This window comes from Homo sapiens, chromosome 13 (genome assembly GCF_000001405.40).
Source record: "Homo sapiens chromosome 13, GRCh38.p14 Primary Assembly".
Classification (NCBI taxonomy): Eukaryota; Metazoa; Chordata; class Mammalia; order Primates; family Hominidae; genus Homo; species Homo sapiens.
In genome coordinates this window covers 32,615,490-32,634,268 of record NC_000013.11, presented here as the reverse complement: position 1 = coordinate 32,634,268, position 18,779 = coordinate 32,615,490, and the positions used below count along the sequence as shown (strand labels likewise).

The 18,779-nt window shown below is 37.4% G+C and overlaps 1 protein-coding gene across 8 annotated transcripts in view, besides 1 other annotated feature; it reads right to left on the bottom strand.

Moving 5' to 3' along the window:
• Positions 1–18,779, bottom strand: part of PDS5B (PDS5 cohesin associated factor B) — a 191,568-nt gene that overhangs the window by 143,751 nt on the left and 29,038 nt on the right. The window contains exon 1 of one of the 8 annotated variants that reach the window (XM_017020448.2): positions 4,498–4,809. The exons of the other annotated variants lie outside the window; for them this stretch is intronic. The gene's annotated coding sequence lies outside the window, so the exon portion shown is untranslated. Of the gene's footprint in view, positions 1–4,497; positions 4,810–18,779 lie in introns of those variants that run through there. 8 annotated transcript variants of the gene reach the window in all.
• Positions 7,809–8,324: an enhancer, noted in NCBI's record as "NANOG hESC enhancer chr13:33200082-33200597 (GRCh37/hg19 assembly coordinates)". NCBI's record gives its function as "activates a minimal SCP1, AML or CMV promoter by ChIP-STARR-seq in primed H9 embryonic stem cells {active_cell/tissue: H9 hESC(primed)}" and the evidence as "EXISTENCE:reporter gene assay evidence [ECO:0000049][PMID:30033119]".

The window sequence follows — 18,779 nt, the reverse complement described above, 5'->3', positions numbered from 1 at the left end:
CTCTGATAAGGAGTCTGGTCATTATCACATAAGGCAGTTGTCATTTTTTTTCTTTCTTTTCTAAGAAATTTAAAGAGAAATGAGATTTGTATTTTAGAGAATTTCCAAAGACAAAGACATACCAGCTAGAACACAGGAAGACTGCAGGAATCTATGAGGGACTGCAAGAGGCTCACTGAAGCAGTAACAGGAAGCTCTGAACAACTGGAAGATAACATAAGAGTATTTGAAGAGAGGATATAACAGAAAACAGGAGAGAAGTATAGTTTAGTAGGAGAAAAGAGATTGAGACAGAAGTAAAATCCAGGAGGCATTGCATAACATTACAATGTAGCTCTTTAAGATGACAATAAAATGGGCATAAAAGTACCACCCATATTGATATGTAAGGACCCAATGTACCATACTGTATACAGGACAAATGAGAGTACAACTATTAATTCTACCTCATTAAAAGTAACACAGTATCCATAAAGATAAACAAATATTCAACAAATCTGCTTACAAAGTTATGTACCTTGTAAATAAAATATTAATAATGAGTAAACTGGGGGAGGGGTTATAAGAAAAATTAGGATGTCAAGTCCACCAAAAAGTTTAATTTGATAAGTTTCTCAATAAATTTCCCTATAATGGGGAAAACTTAACAAAATCATTATAGTACATAAACACTTGATATATTCCTGAAAGACATTAGTTTTGAGGGACTGCATACGGATTAATATTACTAAATCTAATCTGAATCTAGTCTCACTGATTACATCTACCTTATATGCTTCCTGGCTAAAATCAACAACTTTGTTTTGTGACAGTGTTGTCCAAACACGGATAGCTGGTTTTGTTTTTGTTTTCTTAAATAGTTTTATTAAGACAGAATTCACATATCAAATAATTCATCTTTTAGAGTGTACAATTCAATAGTTTTAGATCTAATACTTTTTTTATGTAAAATATATGTAACATAGAATCTACCATTTATAAATGTACAATTAAGTGACATTATTAATTATATTTACAATATTGTGCAACCACTACCATTTCCAAAACTTTTTCATCACCCAAAACAGAAAGAAACTTGTAACCATTAAGCAATAACATCCCATGCCCTGTTTTCCCCAGCCCCTGGTAACTTCTACTGTCTGTCTCTATAAATTTGCCTATCCTTAAGTGCCTCATGTAAGTAGAATCACAGTATTTGTCCTTTTCTGTCAAATTTCACTGAGTGTATTTTCAGGTTCATCCTGTTACAGCACTTATCAGAGCTTAAATTCTTTTGAGTAGCTGGGACCACAGGCGCGCGCCACCACGCCTGGCTAATTTTTGTATTTTAGTAGAGACGGGGTTTCACCATGTTGGGCAGGATGGTCTCGATCTCCTGACCTCAAGATCCGCCTGCCTCAGCCTCCCAAAGTGCTGGGATTGCAGATGTGAGCCACCACGCCTGGCCCAGAGCTTCAATTATTTGTATGACTGAATATTATATGTATATACCACATTTTGTTTATCCATTCTTCTGCTAGTGGACACTTGGTTTCCATTCTTGGCTACTGTGAACAGTGCTGCAATAAACACTGCTGTACAAATACCCATTTCAGTCCCTGTACAAATCTTTTCAGCACACAGCTAGCAGTGGAATTGCTAAGTTTATGGTAACTTTATGATTAGCTTTTTGAAGAACCACCAAACTGTTTCTCACAGCAGCAGCTAGCTACATCAGCAAATGAGGGCTCCAATTTTTCCACATCCTCTTCAACAGTTATTTTCTGGTTTTGTTTTTTTATAGCCATCCTAGTAGGTATGCAGTGTAACCTCATTATGTTTTTGATTTTCATTTTCCTAATGATTAATGGTGTTGAGTATCTTATGTGCTTACAGGTCTATTTGTGTATCTTTGGAAAAATGTCTATTCAAGATCATTGCTCACTTTTAAATTAGGTTGTCTTTTTGTCATTGACCTGTAGTTCTTTATATATTCTGGACATTAAATCCTTGTTAAAGATATGACTTGCAAATATTTTCTTCTGTAGGTTGTGTTTTCATTTTCTTATGTCCTTTGATGCAGAAAAGTTTTTAATTTTTATAAAGTCCAATATATATTTTTTATTGTTTGTGCTAATAAATTCAGGTTCATAAAATTCTACTCCCATATTTTCTTCTAAAAGTATACAGGCTTAAATCTTACATTTACATCATTGATCATTTTGAGCTCATTTTTATCTACTATGTGAAGGAGAGGTCCAACTTAATTCTTTTGCATGTGGAAATCCAGTTGTCCCAGTGTCATCTGTTGAAGATATTCTTTCCCTCTTTGTTTTTAATAAGAATATCCTGGTTCCTCCTCTAGAAATTTTGATTCAGGAGGTGTGGGGAGAAGCTTCAGATTCTGCCGTTTTTAAGGAATGTCTCAGACAATTCCTATGGTCAGACAAGTTTAGAAAACAGTTTAGAACACAACTTCAGGTGCTCAATTCATGTTGTAAAGAAGCCAAAGAACTTTTTTTTCCCTTAAATCCTGGCTTTGCCTTCAGATACATATTCCTGGCCTATACTATATCCAACTGACAACTTAGGTAAGAACTCCTAATTTTCACAAAAAACTGTCAACTTTACTGCACCTTTGATCTCTAAAACATTGGGCTCTGCCAAAACAATACAATCAAACTTGCCACAATACAGACTCAGATCATTCATTCTTTCAACAACAAATATTTATTGAGCACCTATTATATCCCAGGTACTGTTGACTGGGGAATATAACTGTAGGAGAAAGCCAAAGATTATTGTTCTCGTGGCATAGCTTATATTAAAGTTGAAGGAAAACAGACAACAAATGTCAATGTATGTGTTAGATAATGTGAAATGTTAAGAAAAATAGGGGCCGAGCGCCACGGCTCACGCCTGTAATCCTAACACTTTGGGAGGTCAAGGCAGGTGGACTGCTTGAGCCCAGGAGTTTGAGACCAGCCTGGGCAACATGGTGAAACGCCACCACTACAAAAAATACAAAAAAATTAGTCCCAACTAACTGGGAGGCTGAGGTGAGAGGATCACCTAAGCCTAGGGATGTCGAGGCTACAGTGAGCCACGATCCCACCACTGCACCCCAGCCCAAGCAACAGAGTGAGACCCCATCTCAAAAAAAAAAAAAAAGAAAGAAAAAAAGAATCAATAGAGATGGCCAGGTGTGGTGGCTCATGCCTGTAATCCCAACACTTTGGAAGGCCAAGGCAGGTGGATCACTTGAGACAGGAGTTCGAGACCAGCCTGGCCAACATGGTGAAACCCTGTCTCCACCAAAAAAAGAAAAAATACAAAAATTATCCGGCCATGGTGGTGCATGCCTGTAATCTCAGCTACTCGGGAGGCTGAGGCAGGAGAATGACTTGAATCCAGGAGGCGGAGGTTACAGTAAGCCGAGATGGCGCCACTGCACTCCAGCCTGGACAGAAGTGAGACTCCGTCTGAAAAAAAAAAAAAAAGTAAGGAAGAGAACTGTTTTAGCTTGCAAAGACTGGAAAGGACTCTATGACAAGGTGACATTTGAGTGGAAACCTGAAAAAGAATGATGATAAACCATGCAAATACCTGAGGGAAGAATACTCAAGACAGAGTGAGGCTCAGAGATTTTAACCTTGCACTATCTACTACCCAACTACTATCAAAAAAGACCAGAGAACAATTATATTTCTGAAGGATTTTTTAAAGAAATCCCATTCATCACTTCCTCTACATCAGGGCTTCTCAACCTCAGCACTCTCACGTTTTTTGCCAAAAATTCTTTATTGCAAGTGGAGGTCAGGGTGCACCTGTGCATTGTACAATGTTCAGCAGCATCCCTGGGCTCTACTCACTAGATATGAGGAGGGCATGCACACCATCACCATCCCCAGTTGTGACAACCAAAAATGTCTCCAGACATTGCCAAGTGTCCCCTGCAGGGCAAAATCACCCCACACTGAGAACTACTGCTCTAGGTCTGTTCTTACACTCAGATTCCACATAGGAAACCCATAAATGGTCTTCAGGAGGTCTATGAACCATCTATAGTCATCTAAAAGAGTATACAGAGTTTGCATGCATGTGATAATGTACATTCTTCTGGGGAGATGGAGCAGAGCTTGTGGTGTATTCTCTAACATCTATCGTCAAAAAAGAAAGTTAAGGAACACTGCTTCTAATATCTCAAGGATGTGAAGAACAATACCTGGAAACTCCAAATTTGAGCTATACTTGTCTTGGCCCCTACATTCACTTTCAGTTAGTTGAATGCAATTGGGTATCTTCTTTCTTTTCTTTTTGGCTTTCATTAAGTAACCCATTAAAAGCCTATAAACTAGTCACTGAATTTGCTGAAAGATGTTTTTGGAAAATCATCAACTCTGATTTTATTATCATCCATATTTTTTAACAAATGAAGAAAACTGGGACAAGAGAAATTCGCTGATTTTGCCCAAGATCAGAAAGTTCCCAAATGGCAGAATTAGAACTACATCATACCTGCTTACATGGTTATATGGCTGGAAATGGCCACAGAGGCACACTCAACTTCTTGGTTTATTTCAAAAATAAACTATAAAAGCCCTGTAAGCAAGGTACAAAACCAATAAATCAAAGGGCATAAGATGAATAAGAAATATCAACCATAAGATAAACATTGTCTAAGAGCTATTGAGGAGAAGTGAAGCTTTATGTGACATCTGCATCCTCGCTGAAACCTAATGGGTCAGTGAGTAATGTAATGGATAACTCCAACAAGGATAAACACAGAAGTGAGTTTTAACCACCCCTTTTTATCCCTCAATGCAAGCCAAAGTACAATTCAAAGTACTTAAAGTATGATTCAGTAGAAAACATTCTACAAGAATTGTAGCCAACACAAGGTATCCAATGTAGCCAACACTCGGTATCCAAATATACAAGAAATGCAGCCAACACAAGGTATCCAAAAAGCCAGTGATCTCAATGTCTGGTTTGACCTAGAAAAAAAAGAAAAGGTTAAAAAAAAAAAATCGAACAACTCGGAGCAATGATTCTTCAAACTTATTTTAATCATGAAACAAACTCTTCTAACCAAAACATTATAACAATGTGCAATATATCAAATAGGTTAAAAGAGAGCTGCTCTGGCTGAATTGAGTGATGGGTATTCCAATACCCCCAACTTCTCTTGTCAAGAAAGTTCACAGAGAAAAATTTGAAAACCGGTGATCTGTCAGATGTTACTGGAAATGTGAATTATTACAGCCTTTCTGAAAAGATTTGTGTTAATACCTATTAAATTTTAATGACACATTCCCTTCAACCCAGCAATACTTCTCTTCCAATTCTCACAGGAATAAAAATGTCAATATAAATGTACTAGAATATTTATCTTAGCACTGTTTAAAACAAGTGGAAAAAAAAATCTGACATCGAAAAGGGAACAACAGCTACATGAAGTGTGGTAAATCTTTACCATGGAATATTATGCAGTCATTACAAAGAAAAAAATATAACAGTGTTAGCCAATAATATTAATGTACTAACGAGTGGGAAAGGCATTATACTCAAGTGTGTATGTGTGTGCACACGTGTGGGTTTAATAGTATATTTGGTAAAATAAACACCAAATATAACATACACCAAAAAAGTACCTATTGGGCAATAAAAAACACCAAAAAAAAATCTACATAATTAAATTAATGGGAAGTATAGAGCATAATTTTTTTTTTTTTTTCCCTGAGATGGGAGTCTCTCTGTGTCGCCCAGACTGGAGTGCAGTGGCACGATCTCGGCTCACTCCAACCTCCACCTCCCAGGTTCAAGCAATTCTCCTTCCTCAGTCTCCCAAGTAGCTGGGATTACAGGCACCTGCCACCACATCCGGCTTGTATTTTTTGTAGAGACGGGGTTTCACCTTGGCCAGGGTGGTCTCGAACTCCTGACCTCAAGTGATCCACCCACCATAGCCTCCCAAAGTGCTAAGATTACAGGCGTGAGTCACCACACCTAGCCCAAAATTATTTGTATTATTATTGCAAATACGTAAAAATGGAATATAGAAATGATTTGAGCTTGGGATGGAAGAAAGGATACATCTCTTGTAGATATGTTATTTCAAAGTATTTGTAATAAAGTATTTTTTAAAAGCAATCCTTAAAGAAAGAAAACTAATAATCTATAGGTATTATGGATTGCCTATCCTTCAAGGCTGTTCTCTATTAACATTTTTTTCCCTTAAAACTGAACTTTAAATAAAGATTGGGCAACAGATCTATTCTAGATTATATACTCTGGCAGGAGCCAAGAGAGTAAATATTCTGAAATGTCAAAAGTGCTTCTGCTTTTAACAAGAATACAATCATACAGTATCACCCTCTTTCCTCCTCCTTCTCCCCACTAACTTCTCTTTCTCTCCCTTCTTACTTTCTCCTCCACCTCCCAGTGTAAGATCTCAAACGGTATGCAAGAAATCAATTAGATGACCCAACTCTCATCTCTATCCTCATCCCACCTTCCAGATCTAAAACTCTCAATTCTATTATCTTACTATATCATGTACTTGCAGTTTTTGGCAATCCTTAATACTTATCACTCCAACAATATTATATAATCTGTTCTTTACAGATTCATTAATGCAATTACTAATTTGCAAATTAATTTTTCTCTTTTTTCCTTCATTTTCCCAGGAAAACAAATCACAATGGAAAGAACTGCAATAAAGAAAATGGTTCTGCTAGAAAAAAGATATTTCTTTTCAACCCCCTTGCAAACATAAAAAAATTTAAAAACTTTCTTCCTAAAAAAGAGTAAAAAAAACCCAGGAAATGAACTACATATTTTTAAAGTACCATTCAGAAATAAATTATAAAGTATATACTGTCTTGTGAGATGCAAATAACTCAACAGAGCAGCTTTGTACAAATATCTATAGCTAATTCTACAAAGTTGACTCCATTTTCTCTTCCATAAAATGTAGATAGCATCCATCTGCTTAATTACTGTACAGACTGTAAAGCACTGCACCTGCAGTTATCAAACTGTAAAACAAGACATCTCAGAGTCCCCTAGATATCACAGCAAATTCACAGGCACTGAGGGATATTTTAAGTTCTCAAGGAAAATACAGCTATTCTCAAGATCTGTCAGACACCAGGTAAGCTTATCAGCTCAAGGTAGTTCCACTTGAACATGAGATCATTGTTCTACCTTCTTTTTGAAGGTAATATTATCTTTGAGAAGCTAGGTTTTGGGACAGCTGATGTGATAAAAAAAAGTGCTAGATAGAAATCAGTGGAAAACAGGAAACAAAGGTGGCAGTGTTCAATCTGATTCCAAGACTTAAGAACTTTGCATATGCCCAACAGGCACACACATCAGATCAGTAAGCATATGTCACTATTTAAGCATAAAAAGGGAATGTTTTTATTTGATTGAACATATAATTCTTGAACCATAAATACTTATTAGGCTACTTGTATCTAACTAAAACAGAACTGTTATGTATTCTATTTTGGCTCCATGAAAAAATGATGAGACACTAAGGACACCATGAACAGAACATTTGGGAATGTCTCACTGTACATTTATAAGAGATTCCAATAGATGTAAGTTGCACAATTGTACAACATCTTTACTCTTTCTTCACTGCAGACAAGGCAAAGAAAATAAAAAAAAAACAGCAAGACTGAAAACATGTCAAAAATGAGTAGGATGGTGACAGGAGGCTCATGATCACATTTTGTTCTAGAAAAGCAGGAGGCAAAACTAAAGACTGACTACAATAATTAAAGAAGAAAAAATTCCCAAATGTTGCCTATTTAATGGTTTATTTAAAGACAAGGTCGAATTCAGCCTTAAAACCTTGATTATCTAACAATGGTTTTCCAATACACTTTAGCAGATGAGCCCTCTTTTCAAGCCAAATCTCCCCTAAATTCTAGTTACAAAATACAGAAAAAGCAAAGTTCTGTTTGTAGTTGAGGAGGAACATAGGACCACGGTCTGGCTTATCTCCCTCCATACCTGTAACTGCATTCACAGGGGCCTCTAGCACTTCAACAACTCAGTAGGGAAGGGATTATGGTGCCCCAGACCTTCAATTAGAGCAGCTCAGCTTTACAAAGCATCTCACTTGAATACTGGTCTGGGGCTGGGTGCAGTGGACCACGCCTGTAATCCCAGCACTTTGGGAGGCCGAGGCAGATAGATCACTCGGGGTCAGGAGTTCAAGACCAGACTGGCCAACATGGCAAAACCCCATACCTACTAAAAACACAAAAATTAGCCAGGCGTTGGTAGTGCGTGCCTGTGATCCCAGCTACTCTGGAGGCTGAGGCACAAGAATCGCTTGAATCCAGGAGGCAAAGGCTACAGTGAGCCAAGATCTTCCCCACTGCAATCCAGCCTGGGCAACAAAGCGAGACCCTGTCTCAAAAAAAAAAAAAAAAAGAATACTGGTCTCAGCTGCTTCACAGACTAAAACCTAGGACAATGCATTTCAAACTTTTTTTTTTTTATTGCAACACAACCCAGTATATAAATATGCTCAGGAAAAAAAAATGTCTCATTAAACAATATGCTTCTTGTGTGTACTTCATTCTGAGGTTTTCTACTTTAATTAAAACCTGATTTACAAACTCTAGCCTAAGAAATTATTTCAATGACTTCTCAAAATACCTGAAATTAATTAAAATAAAATGAAATTCCACTTATACACAAAACCCCATCAGGATAAATCAAGTACATCAGGAGACTCAAATAGTCCAAAAGAGGTGCACAAACTGAGAATCACAACAGGTTATGTAAAATTAAACATTAATACAGAAAAACACAAAAGAATTTTTTTTTTAATTTTTAGTGCTGTCACAATGAAATGTGCAGAGATTTGTATATGTAAAACTAAAATAGGTTAGCCAGGCATGGTGGAGCATACCTGTAGTCCCAACTACTCAGGACGCTGAGACAGGAGGATCATTTGAGCCCAGGAGTTCAAGGCTGCAGAGAGTTATGATCTTGCCACCTCACACCCTTTAGTCCCAGCTACTCAGAAGGCTCAGGTGGGAGGATCGCTTGAGCCCAGATGGTCAAGGCTGCAGTGAGCTGTGATCACGTCACTGTACTCCAGCCTGGGCTACAGAGTGAGATCTTGTCTCAAAATGAATGAATAAATGAATGAGCGAATGAATGAAAAGGAAAAGCTTAAAAACTGAACATCTTTTTCCAGTAATATATATATTAATACTGTATATCCTGAAAGGCCCAATAAATCCAGCAGAAAACTGTTATCACATTGCTGAGCTCAAAAAAGTAAGGAAAATCTACCAGAACCTACCGACACCCAACCTTCATTTCCACACTCACCATCTGTCTCTTATCTGCACAAAAAAAGGGTAAATTGAAACCTGAACAGTAAGTAGTATGCACTTGGAGATGCAAAAGGGCAAATGTGCATATTAGCATTTGCCCTTTTGCCAATTGAGCTTGGACTCTAGAAAGTTCCCAGGTAGATGACAAATCCTATTTCTCAGTAGAAGCAATTTCTCAGTAGAAGCAAACTGAAATCTTCTGTGGAGTTAAAAAATTCCTCAGTTTAGGCACCCAAATTTTCCACATACCAAGCTCAACAAAACATGAGTCCTTCCCAAGGACCAACAAACACATAAGAAAACCAAACACCAAGAGTGATTCACGCCCCAATGAATTCAGATATTATAACCTCATTGCCAAAATACAAAATATGAATGTTTAAACTTTTAAAAATGAAATCACAAAATCAGCAAGCAACAAGAGGCTGCTGAAAATAACAAGAGACTGAACAGTAATAAATACTTTAATGAAAAGTAACTGTTGATTTCAAAACCTCAATGGACAGGTCAAGCAGATTAAACACGACTAGTTTTACAAAAACCAGTAACTGAAGAAACTACCCAAAATGCAGGGCCAAGAGACAAACAGATGAAAAATTTTAAATGAAATTAGGAGATGCTAGAGGACAAAAAGACAACTCTGATATCTTAGTAAAAGAAAATAAAGAAAAAGAAACTCTAAACATGAAAGCAAAATATAAATACATAATAGCATGTATAATTTGGGGGATAAAAGGGAGAATAAAATGCTAGGCAACATCAACATGGAAGTTGGAAGGGGAGTGTTGACCAGATTGGTAAAAGGGCCTTTGTGTCAATTTTGCAAAGAGCTAAGGAATTAAGTATACAAGGCAAAATTTCAAGTGTAACAATTTTTTTTTTTAAAAAAAAGGAATAGCTTGGCCAACATGGTGAAACCCCATCTCTACTAAAAATACAAAAATTAGCTGGGCGTGGTGGCACACGCCTGTCTTCCCAGCTACTCAGGAGGCTAAGGCAGGAAAATCACTTGAACCCAGGAGGTGGAGGTTGCAGTGAGCCAAGATCACGCCACTGCACTCCAGCCTGGCGAGAGAGCCAGACTCTGTCTCAACAACAACAAAGCAAAAAAAAGGAATAGATTATAAACTGTAATTTCCCTAACAGAAAGAAAAAAGAAATGGATTGTGGAAAAATGAAAGTAACTAAACTTTTTTTAAAACTAAAAAAAAAAATGCAAGCAAAGAAAAGGGAAAAATAGGGCAAAAAGAAAATGAAATTTATAACAATCAGAAAGGTGGGTATGAAACCTGCCTTGCGAAATTATAACAGTGAGAGAAATCTAACATAACTGACTCCATCTTGCTTCTAACCTCACAAGCTAATTGCCTTTGCTTATTCCTATACATAGGTCAGACTAACGATGTTACTATGTTTATAGTTTAAAGCAAGGAGGATAATAGTCCCTTCCCAAGACTAATCCACCCCTCCTTGTTGAGGGACTAAAACCGACTTTGTATAACGAACACAAGGCCACAAGCTTAGAATTATGGTAGGGGCCTCAATTCTACTAAGATATAAGGATAAACAGTAACCAGTCATTGTCCCCTAGCCCCCTTTTTTATAATTACTTGCTGATCAGGAATCATGTAGCCAGTGGTCACAAGATGTGTAACTTCTCCAATTGCTCTTATAGATAACATCACTACTATGAAACCTAAAACTAGTGTTTGAGATATTTTTCAGACTTTGAATTCTGTTCTACCAACTGATGCCACACAGGGCTGGTGACCCATACCAAGAAAATGACTAAACTGGTCCTGTAACCCTCACCCAGGAACTGATTCAGCACACGAAAACAGTTGACATCCCTGTGATTTCATTTCCAACCAAACCAATCAGCAGAACTCGTTCCCTAGACCCCTGCCTGCCTGCCAAACCACCCTTAAAAACCCTAGTCTCCAAATTCTTGGCAAGGCAGATTTAAGAACTATCTCCCATTCCCCTGACTCAGCTGCCCTGCGACTAAACTCTTTCTCTGCTGCAATACCTGTTGCCTCAGCATATTGGTTTTTTCTGTGCAGCAGGCAAGAACCTCAATGGGTTGTAACAGGCACCTACATTCTCATCAGACCAAACAAATTTTTAAAAACAAAGAATTTTAACACATACAGAAGCCATCACAAAATGATTAAAAGATTCAAATTATCAGAAAAAAATTAATTTATATCAGCTATTAAACAATATGAAAATAATAAAAACTGATAGACCCGGAGGGACAAACCAACATGTCCACCGGCACAGTACAAGTTTTAACACATCTTTTCCACTACTGATAGATTATATACTAGAAAAACTAGTAAAGACATAAGAAGACTTAAACAAGGTAATTAACAAGTACGTTTTGTTGGTCATTTATAGAGCTTTGTACCCTTACACAGTCTTTTCAAGCACACATATAACATTTACAAAAACTAATGACAATCTGGTACTTAACCCATGTCTCAACAAATTAAAAATAATCCAAATCTCACCCACCACATATTCCTGACTAAAATGTAATCAAGTCAGTAAAAAAAAAGAAAGTCATTTCCATATGTTAGGAAATGTAAAAACACTCAAATAATTATAATTGAATAGTAAAGAAAATAATACATATAAAACTTGTAGGAATTAGGAAAAGTGGTATAGAAAGGGAAATTTATAGCCTTAAATGTTTATACTGAAAAGAAGAAAGTTTAATACAAATAAGCTAAGCATCAAACTTAAGCCAGGAAAAGAAATGAAGAATAAAATGAGAATGAAATCAAAGAACAGAGAAAGAAGATAAAAAAGAGTGGAAATTAGTTAATTAAATAAGAGAATGCATCTAAATAGCCCAAAATTAGCAGGTCTCTGGTGACGCTGATCAAGAATAGAAAAAAAGAGATTAACATTAGGGAAAAAAAATGAGATGTTAAATACAGAGATTAAAAGAAATATTGAAAGAATGATAGATAAAGAATAGTTCAAACCAGAGACTGGCAAACTTTTTCTTAAAAGACCAGACAGTAAATGTTTTTGGCTTGGGGCTCATACCTTCTGTCATAACTACTCATCTCTGCATTTATAGCACTAAAGCAACCAGACAATATGATTAGGTGTGGCTATATTCCAGCAAGATTTTATTTAGAAAAAGAGGCAGGCAGCCTGTGACAGGCCATAGTTTGCTGAGTCCTGCTTTATGCCAATAAATGTGCTATTTTAGATGTTATTTCCTAGAAAAAAAAATGTAATTAACAAAAAATTATTCAAGAAGAAATGTAAAACCTGAATAGAGCAGTAATCATTAAAGAAACTAAGTTAAAATCTTCCCAAAAAGAAACATCAGGCTTGATGAGCTGTTCCAAATTTTGGAAGAACTGTCTCCATCTTACACAAACGATTCCAGAACACAGAAACAAAGAGAATACTTTCCACCTTCTCCTCTTTTTTTTGAGACAGGGTCTTGCTCTGTCACCCAGGCTGGAGCGCAGTGGCAAAATACTGGCTCACTGCAACCTCTGCCTCCCAGGCTCAAGCAATCATCCCACCTCAGCCTCCAGAGTAGCTGAGATTGCTACAGGAACACACCACCACGCCCAGCCAATTTTTTTATTTTTTGTAGGGACAAAATTTTGCCATATTGCCCAGGCTGCTCTCAAACTCCTGAGCTCAAGTGATCTGTCTGCCTTGGCCTCCCAGAGTGCTGGGATTACAGGCGTGAGCCACCGCACCCAGCCATTCCATCTCTTTCAATGAAACAAGTATAAGTTTGACATGAAAACTCATAAACATACATACACAGATTAGCCAGATAACTTCAGCAATGTATTTAAAAAGACAACTCTACCACAGCACTAACAGAATTTTCCACAATAATGGAAATGTTCTGTAATTTCTGTTTTTCCATTATAGCCATAACCACAATTAGCACTTGAAATGTGGCTAGTGGTTACTATGTTGGCCAGTGTAGCTATATCCCAACCAAGCTTGGTTTACTCTAATAATGCAAGGTTGGTTTATTATCAGAAAAATTTATTATTCACCACATCACCAGATAGAAAGAAGAAAACTATGTCAACAAATGTAGAAATCAGTACCCATTTGTTAAAAATAACAATAAAAAGAAAAGCTTTACCTGACAAAGGTTATCTACCCAAAACTAACACCACCATTCTTCATGTTGAAACACATCAAGCATTTCCTCTAAAGCTAGAAACAATCAGAATCCCGTTATCACTACCACTTTTTTTTTTTTTTTTTTTGAGACGGAGTCTCGCTCTGTCGCCCAGGCTGGAGTGCAGTGGCACAATCTCGGCTCACTGTAAGCTCTGCCTCCTGGGTTCACGCCATTCTCCCGCCTCAGCCTGCCAAGTAGCTGCTGGGACTACAGGCACCTGCCACCACACCCAGCTAATCTTTTGTATTTTTAGTAGAGATGGGGTTTCACCATTTACAGGATGGTCTCGATCTCCTGACCTCGTGATCCGCCCGCCTCGGCCTCCCAAAGTGCTGGGATTACAGGCGTGAGCCACCGTGCTATCACTACCACTTTTTAACAGTTACCAAAGGACCCTGGCCAGCATACTAAGAAAAGAAAAAGAAATCAACAACATAAGGATTGGAAAGAAACCACAGTCTCATTATTTGCAGGTGATAGTACTGTCTATACAGAAACTCAAAACATTAGTATTGTGAACATTAAAACTTAGCAAGGTGGACCAAAAAAATCTGTTTCATTTCCACATACCAGCCAAAGCAGCTGAAAATGTAATTTTAAACAAAAAAGTTTATTATAAGATACATTTTAAAAATCTAACCAGGGCCGGGTGCATTGGCTCATGACTGTAATCCTAGCACTTTGGGAGGCCGAGGCGGGTGGATCACCTGAGGTCAGAAGTTAGAAACCAGCCTGGCCAACATAGTGAAACCCTGTCTCTACTAAAAATATAAAAATTAGCTGGGCGTGGTTGCGGGCCCCTGTAATCCCAGCTACGAGGGAGGCTGAAGCAGGAGAATCACTTGAACCCAGGAGGCAAAGGTTATAGTGAGCCAAGACCACACCACTGCACTCCAGCCTAGAGGACAAGAGCAAAACTTCATCTCAAATAAAATAAAATGTTTAACCAAAGATGTCTCAGACCTATGTGGAGAAAATTATTACATTTTGGGGGCCACGTAATGTTTCAGTCAACAACAAACCATATATAACGGTGGTCTCATAAGATTATAATAGAGCTGGAAAATTCCTATCATCTTGTGACATCATAAACCATCATGATATCATACTTTATTTTTTGAAATAAATTTAACATAGCCTAATTGTACAGTGTTTATAAAATCTATGGTAGTGTACAGTAATGTTCTAGGCCTTCACATTCGCTCACCACTCACTCACTGCATCACCCAGAGAAATTTCTAGTCCTGCAAGTTCTATTCATGGTAAGTGCTCTACATTTTTTATCCATCATATTTTTACTGTACCTTTTGTATGTTTAGATATGCAAATACCATTGTGTTACAATTGCCTATGATATTCAGAACAGTAACATGCTGTACAGATTTGTGGCCTAGGAGCAACAGGCTACACCGTATAGCCTATGTACACCCTGCCATGTTCACATAGTGAAGAAATTGCCTAACAAAGCATCTCTCAGAATGTACCCCTGTTGTTAAGTGACATGTAACTCTACTATGTCTATATCATAAAGATGCTCAATATCATAAAGATGTCAACTCTCCCCCCAACAGGGTACCTCAAAGACCTTACCACCAAATTTTTAAATCATTTAGACATGCAAACAGCCAAACAACTTCTGAAATACAGGGTAGGGGTATTTGCCCTGCCAGACAGTGAGACTTGTATAAAGCTGTAATAATTAAGGAAGTGTGGTATGACGGTGAAGATAGACAATTAGGCTGCAAAACAGAATTGAGTCCAGAAACAGACTCACATGTATATGGAAACTTGACTATGAGAGTTCGTTCTGCACATCACTGCAGAAAAGATGGACTCTAAAAAATGAGGTTGTGACAACTATCCATATGGCAAAAAGTAAGTATCAATCCCTGTTCCACTACTGGTGGGGAAAAAAGAAAAAAAGCAACCCCAGTGGACTGAGATGAAAGACAAAGCTTTAAAGCAGGAAACTATTTTAATTACCCAAGTTTGAAGAGATGACTTCTTAAACAAAAGTAAATATAAATAAATACATGAATGCCCATATAAACCATAAAAGATCTTACTACATTAAGACTATCTGTTTTTCACAAGACACCAAAAAAAGTAAAATTATTAACTTCAACAAAGGAGAAACTAGGGAGAAGGTATGTGACCTTCTCCAGGACCACCAGTGGATGCCCAAAACATATACTACTGAACCCTATATACACATTTTTTTTTTCTACACAGTAATGGGCCAGTAGTATTACACTGGACGGGTAACTGGACAAAGGAATAATTCACATCCTGGACAGGATGGAGCAGAATAGCAAGTGATTTCATCATACCACTCAGAACAGTGGGCACCTTAAAACAGCAATTGTTTAATTATAACAATTTTCCATTTAGTATTTTCAGACCATGGTTGACCACTGGTAACTGAAATCACTGAAAGCAAAACCTCGGGTAGGACCATTGTATCTGTAACTCACAAAACTGATTTTTTTTTAAAGTTAGTGAATTCAAGTTAGTAGAATGTGTCCCCTCCAAAATTCTTGTGTTGAAACTTAACAACCAATGTTATAGTAGTATTGAGAGGCTGGGGCCTGAGTGCTTAGGCCACGAGGGCTCCTCCCTTATGAACAGGATTAGGCCCTTAAAAAAGCAGCTCCTGGCAGCCAGCGTTTGGCTATCTGGCCCTTCCGCCTTCCTTCCACCATATGAGAACACAGCATCATTCACCTCTGGAGGATGCAGCCCTTACCAGACTACACAACCTGCTAGTGCCTTCATCTTGGACTTCCCAGCCTCCAGAACTGTGAGAAATAAATTTCTGCTCTTTATAAAAAATTACCTGGCCTTAGGTATTTTGTTATAGCAGCACCATGGGACTAAGTTAGTAATCAGAATATATAAAGAACATACATAATGATGAAAAACACAACCCAACAGTAAGATTAGCAGCACACTGCAAAAGAAGAAATATCCAATAAACACTTGACATGTTGTACCCCTCTCATTTGTAATAAGAGGAATACAAATTAGGACCACATTGAGGATTTTACACCCACTGAATTAGCAAAAACTGAAACAGGTAATGCCATTATTAAGCCAGATAACAGCAAGGGAAACAGAAATGGCACAGCTGGTTTAAACTACTCTTCTTTAACCCTTAGGGTTCACAGGGACCAGCCTCCTCTGAATCAAACGGGCCCTGAATACCTGTAAAAAATCTTGAGTTATATGTGCAAGAAACAAGTGGGAGAATAGCTACTGAATAAAAACAGCATTTGCCACAGTGGTCTCTTCCTTTCCAATATTTACATATCTTATTTATGTCGTATTGTTCTGTTCCCAAGATATCCAAAACAGTATGTCTGTGTTGTAGATATGTATGTGGCTGCCTCTCCCACAATCATTACACCTCTCTCTCTGATAATGTAACTACAATAAAATTTAGGGAAGTACTAACAAGCAACTCTGTAAGTAGGTGCTAACTGGTGGCCAAGACAGGATAATTTCATCACCCTAGATTATATTAAATAAATGGCTTAGGATAAAACAGATTTAAGCTGATTGGGATACGGCAATTCTTCTAGCCAGAGGTTATTTATTCAGAGGTGGTCTGACCGTAGCTCAGAATTTTGGATGAGACACATAATATGGACATGATTTCACTGTCTCACTACTGGGAGAGCTCTCTTTTGCATATGAGTTCTCTACGCAAAGACTGTCAACGTCAGAGAAACTATTAATAGATGAATTACATTAATAGGTAAAAGAAGAAAATGCACAGGATCATCTAAATTAAACTGTTCATTATTCCTGACTTTAATCCCTTAGAGAAAATCAGGAAAAGAAGGAAAATTCTTTACTATGATAAATACTACTTTTCAGAAATAAACAGTAAACTTACAAACACTAGGGCATTTCCACTAGGACAACTGAAAAATGAGAGTGTTCGCAATATGTTAGGATTCTTGAATTGTTAAGGAACAAAATTTTGCAGTTCAACTACCTTAAACAAATTTTTTTTTAAAAGGCTATATTGTCTCAGGTAAATAAATAATCCCAAGGTAGAGAAGGCTTCAGCATGGTTCCAACAATGTTCTTGGCCCAATTTCTGTCCAATTCCCTTGGATTAGAAATCAGACAATGGCAACTCGGGCTACATTTTCTTGTATTTATATGCAGACATAGGCATAATAGCAAAATACTGAAAATACCTACATGTCCTTCAATAGAAAAGTTATATATTTCTTGGTAACATCATAAAATGGTGAAGCATTTTATGTGCTGGCTCAAAATCCAAAATGCATCACTAAATTGAAAAGGCAAAATAGTATCCATAGTATGATCCCATTCGTGTTTTTAAAGTATAAAAAAATTTTAAAGAGACGGGAGGGGCCAGGCGCAGTGGCTCACTCCTGTAATCCCAGCATTTTGGGAGGCCAAGGCGGGTGGATCACCTGAGGTCAGGAGTTCGAGACCAGCCTGGCCAACATAGTGAAACCCTGTCTCTACTAAAAATACAAAAAATTAGCTGGGTGTGGTGGCGGGTGCCTGTAATCCCAGCTACTAGGGAGGCTGGGGCAGGAGAATCGCTTGAACCCAGGAGGCAGAGTTTGCAGTGAGCCAAGATCGCGCCATTGCACTCCAGCCTGGGCACCAAGAGCAAAATTCCATCTCAAAAAAAAAAAGAGAGAGAGAGAGGAGGAAAAATATCACTTCTAGCTTAGCATCTTGATGTATTTCCAAAACCCAACATATAGCTATGTTTCATAGTATCAAGGAAGTCTTTGACTTTAGGCAAGAATTTAGACACTATAAAAAAATTTCAATATTCTGAAAACAAAAGTCTACTCTGGATTGATGAATTATTGCACTAATCACATAATAAAGATTAAAACTAAAATTCACAGAGCACCTATTGCCAGGGACTATATAAGTTACTTATATGTACTTTCTATGATTTATATTTCCAGCAACCATGAGATATTTTATATCCATGCTTATTAAGAGAAGCAACATGTCCAGAGCTCACATGGTGAAAATACTTGTATTTGATACAGCTGGAATTTAATTCCAGATGTAATTCCAAAATTCACACACTCTTCATTACACCATGATGACTAGAAGTTCAATAAGTGTCTCTAAAGGGTACAGACTTTCTCTTCACTCATTATAAAAACGACACAACTAAAAATTATAGAAAAGGCAAAATATAATAAAGTACAATCGATCCCAGTAGGAGCCATCTATTCTTGATG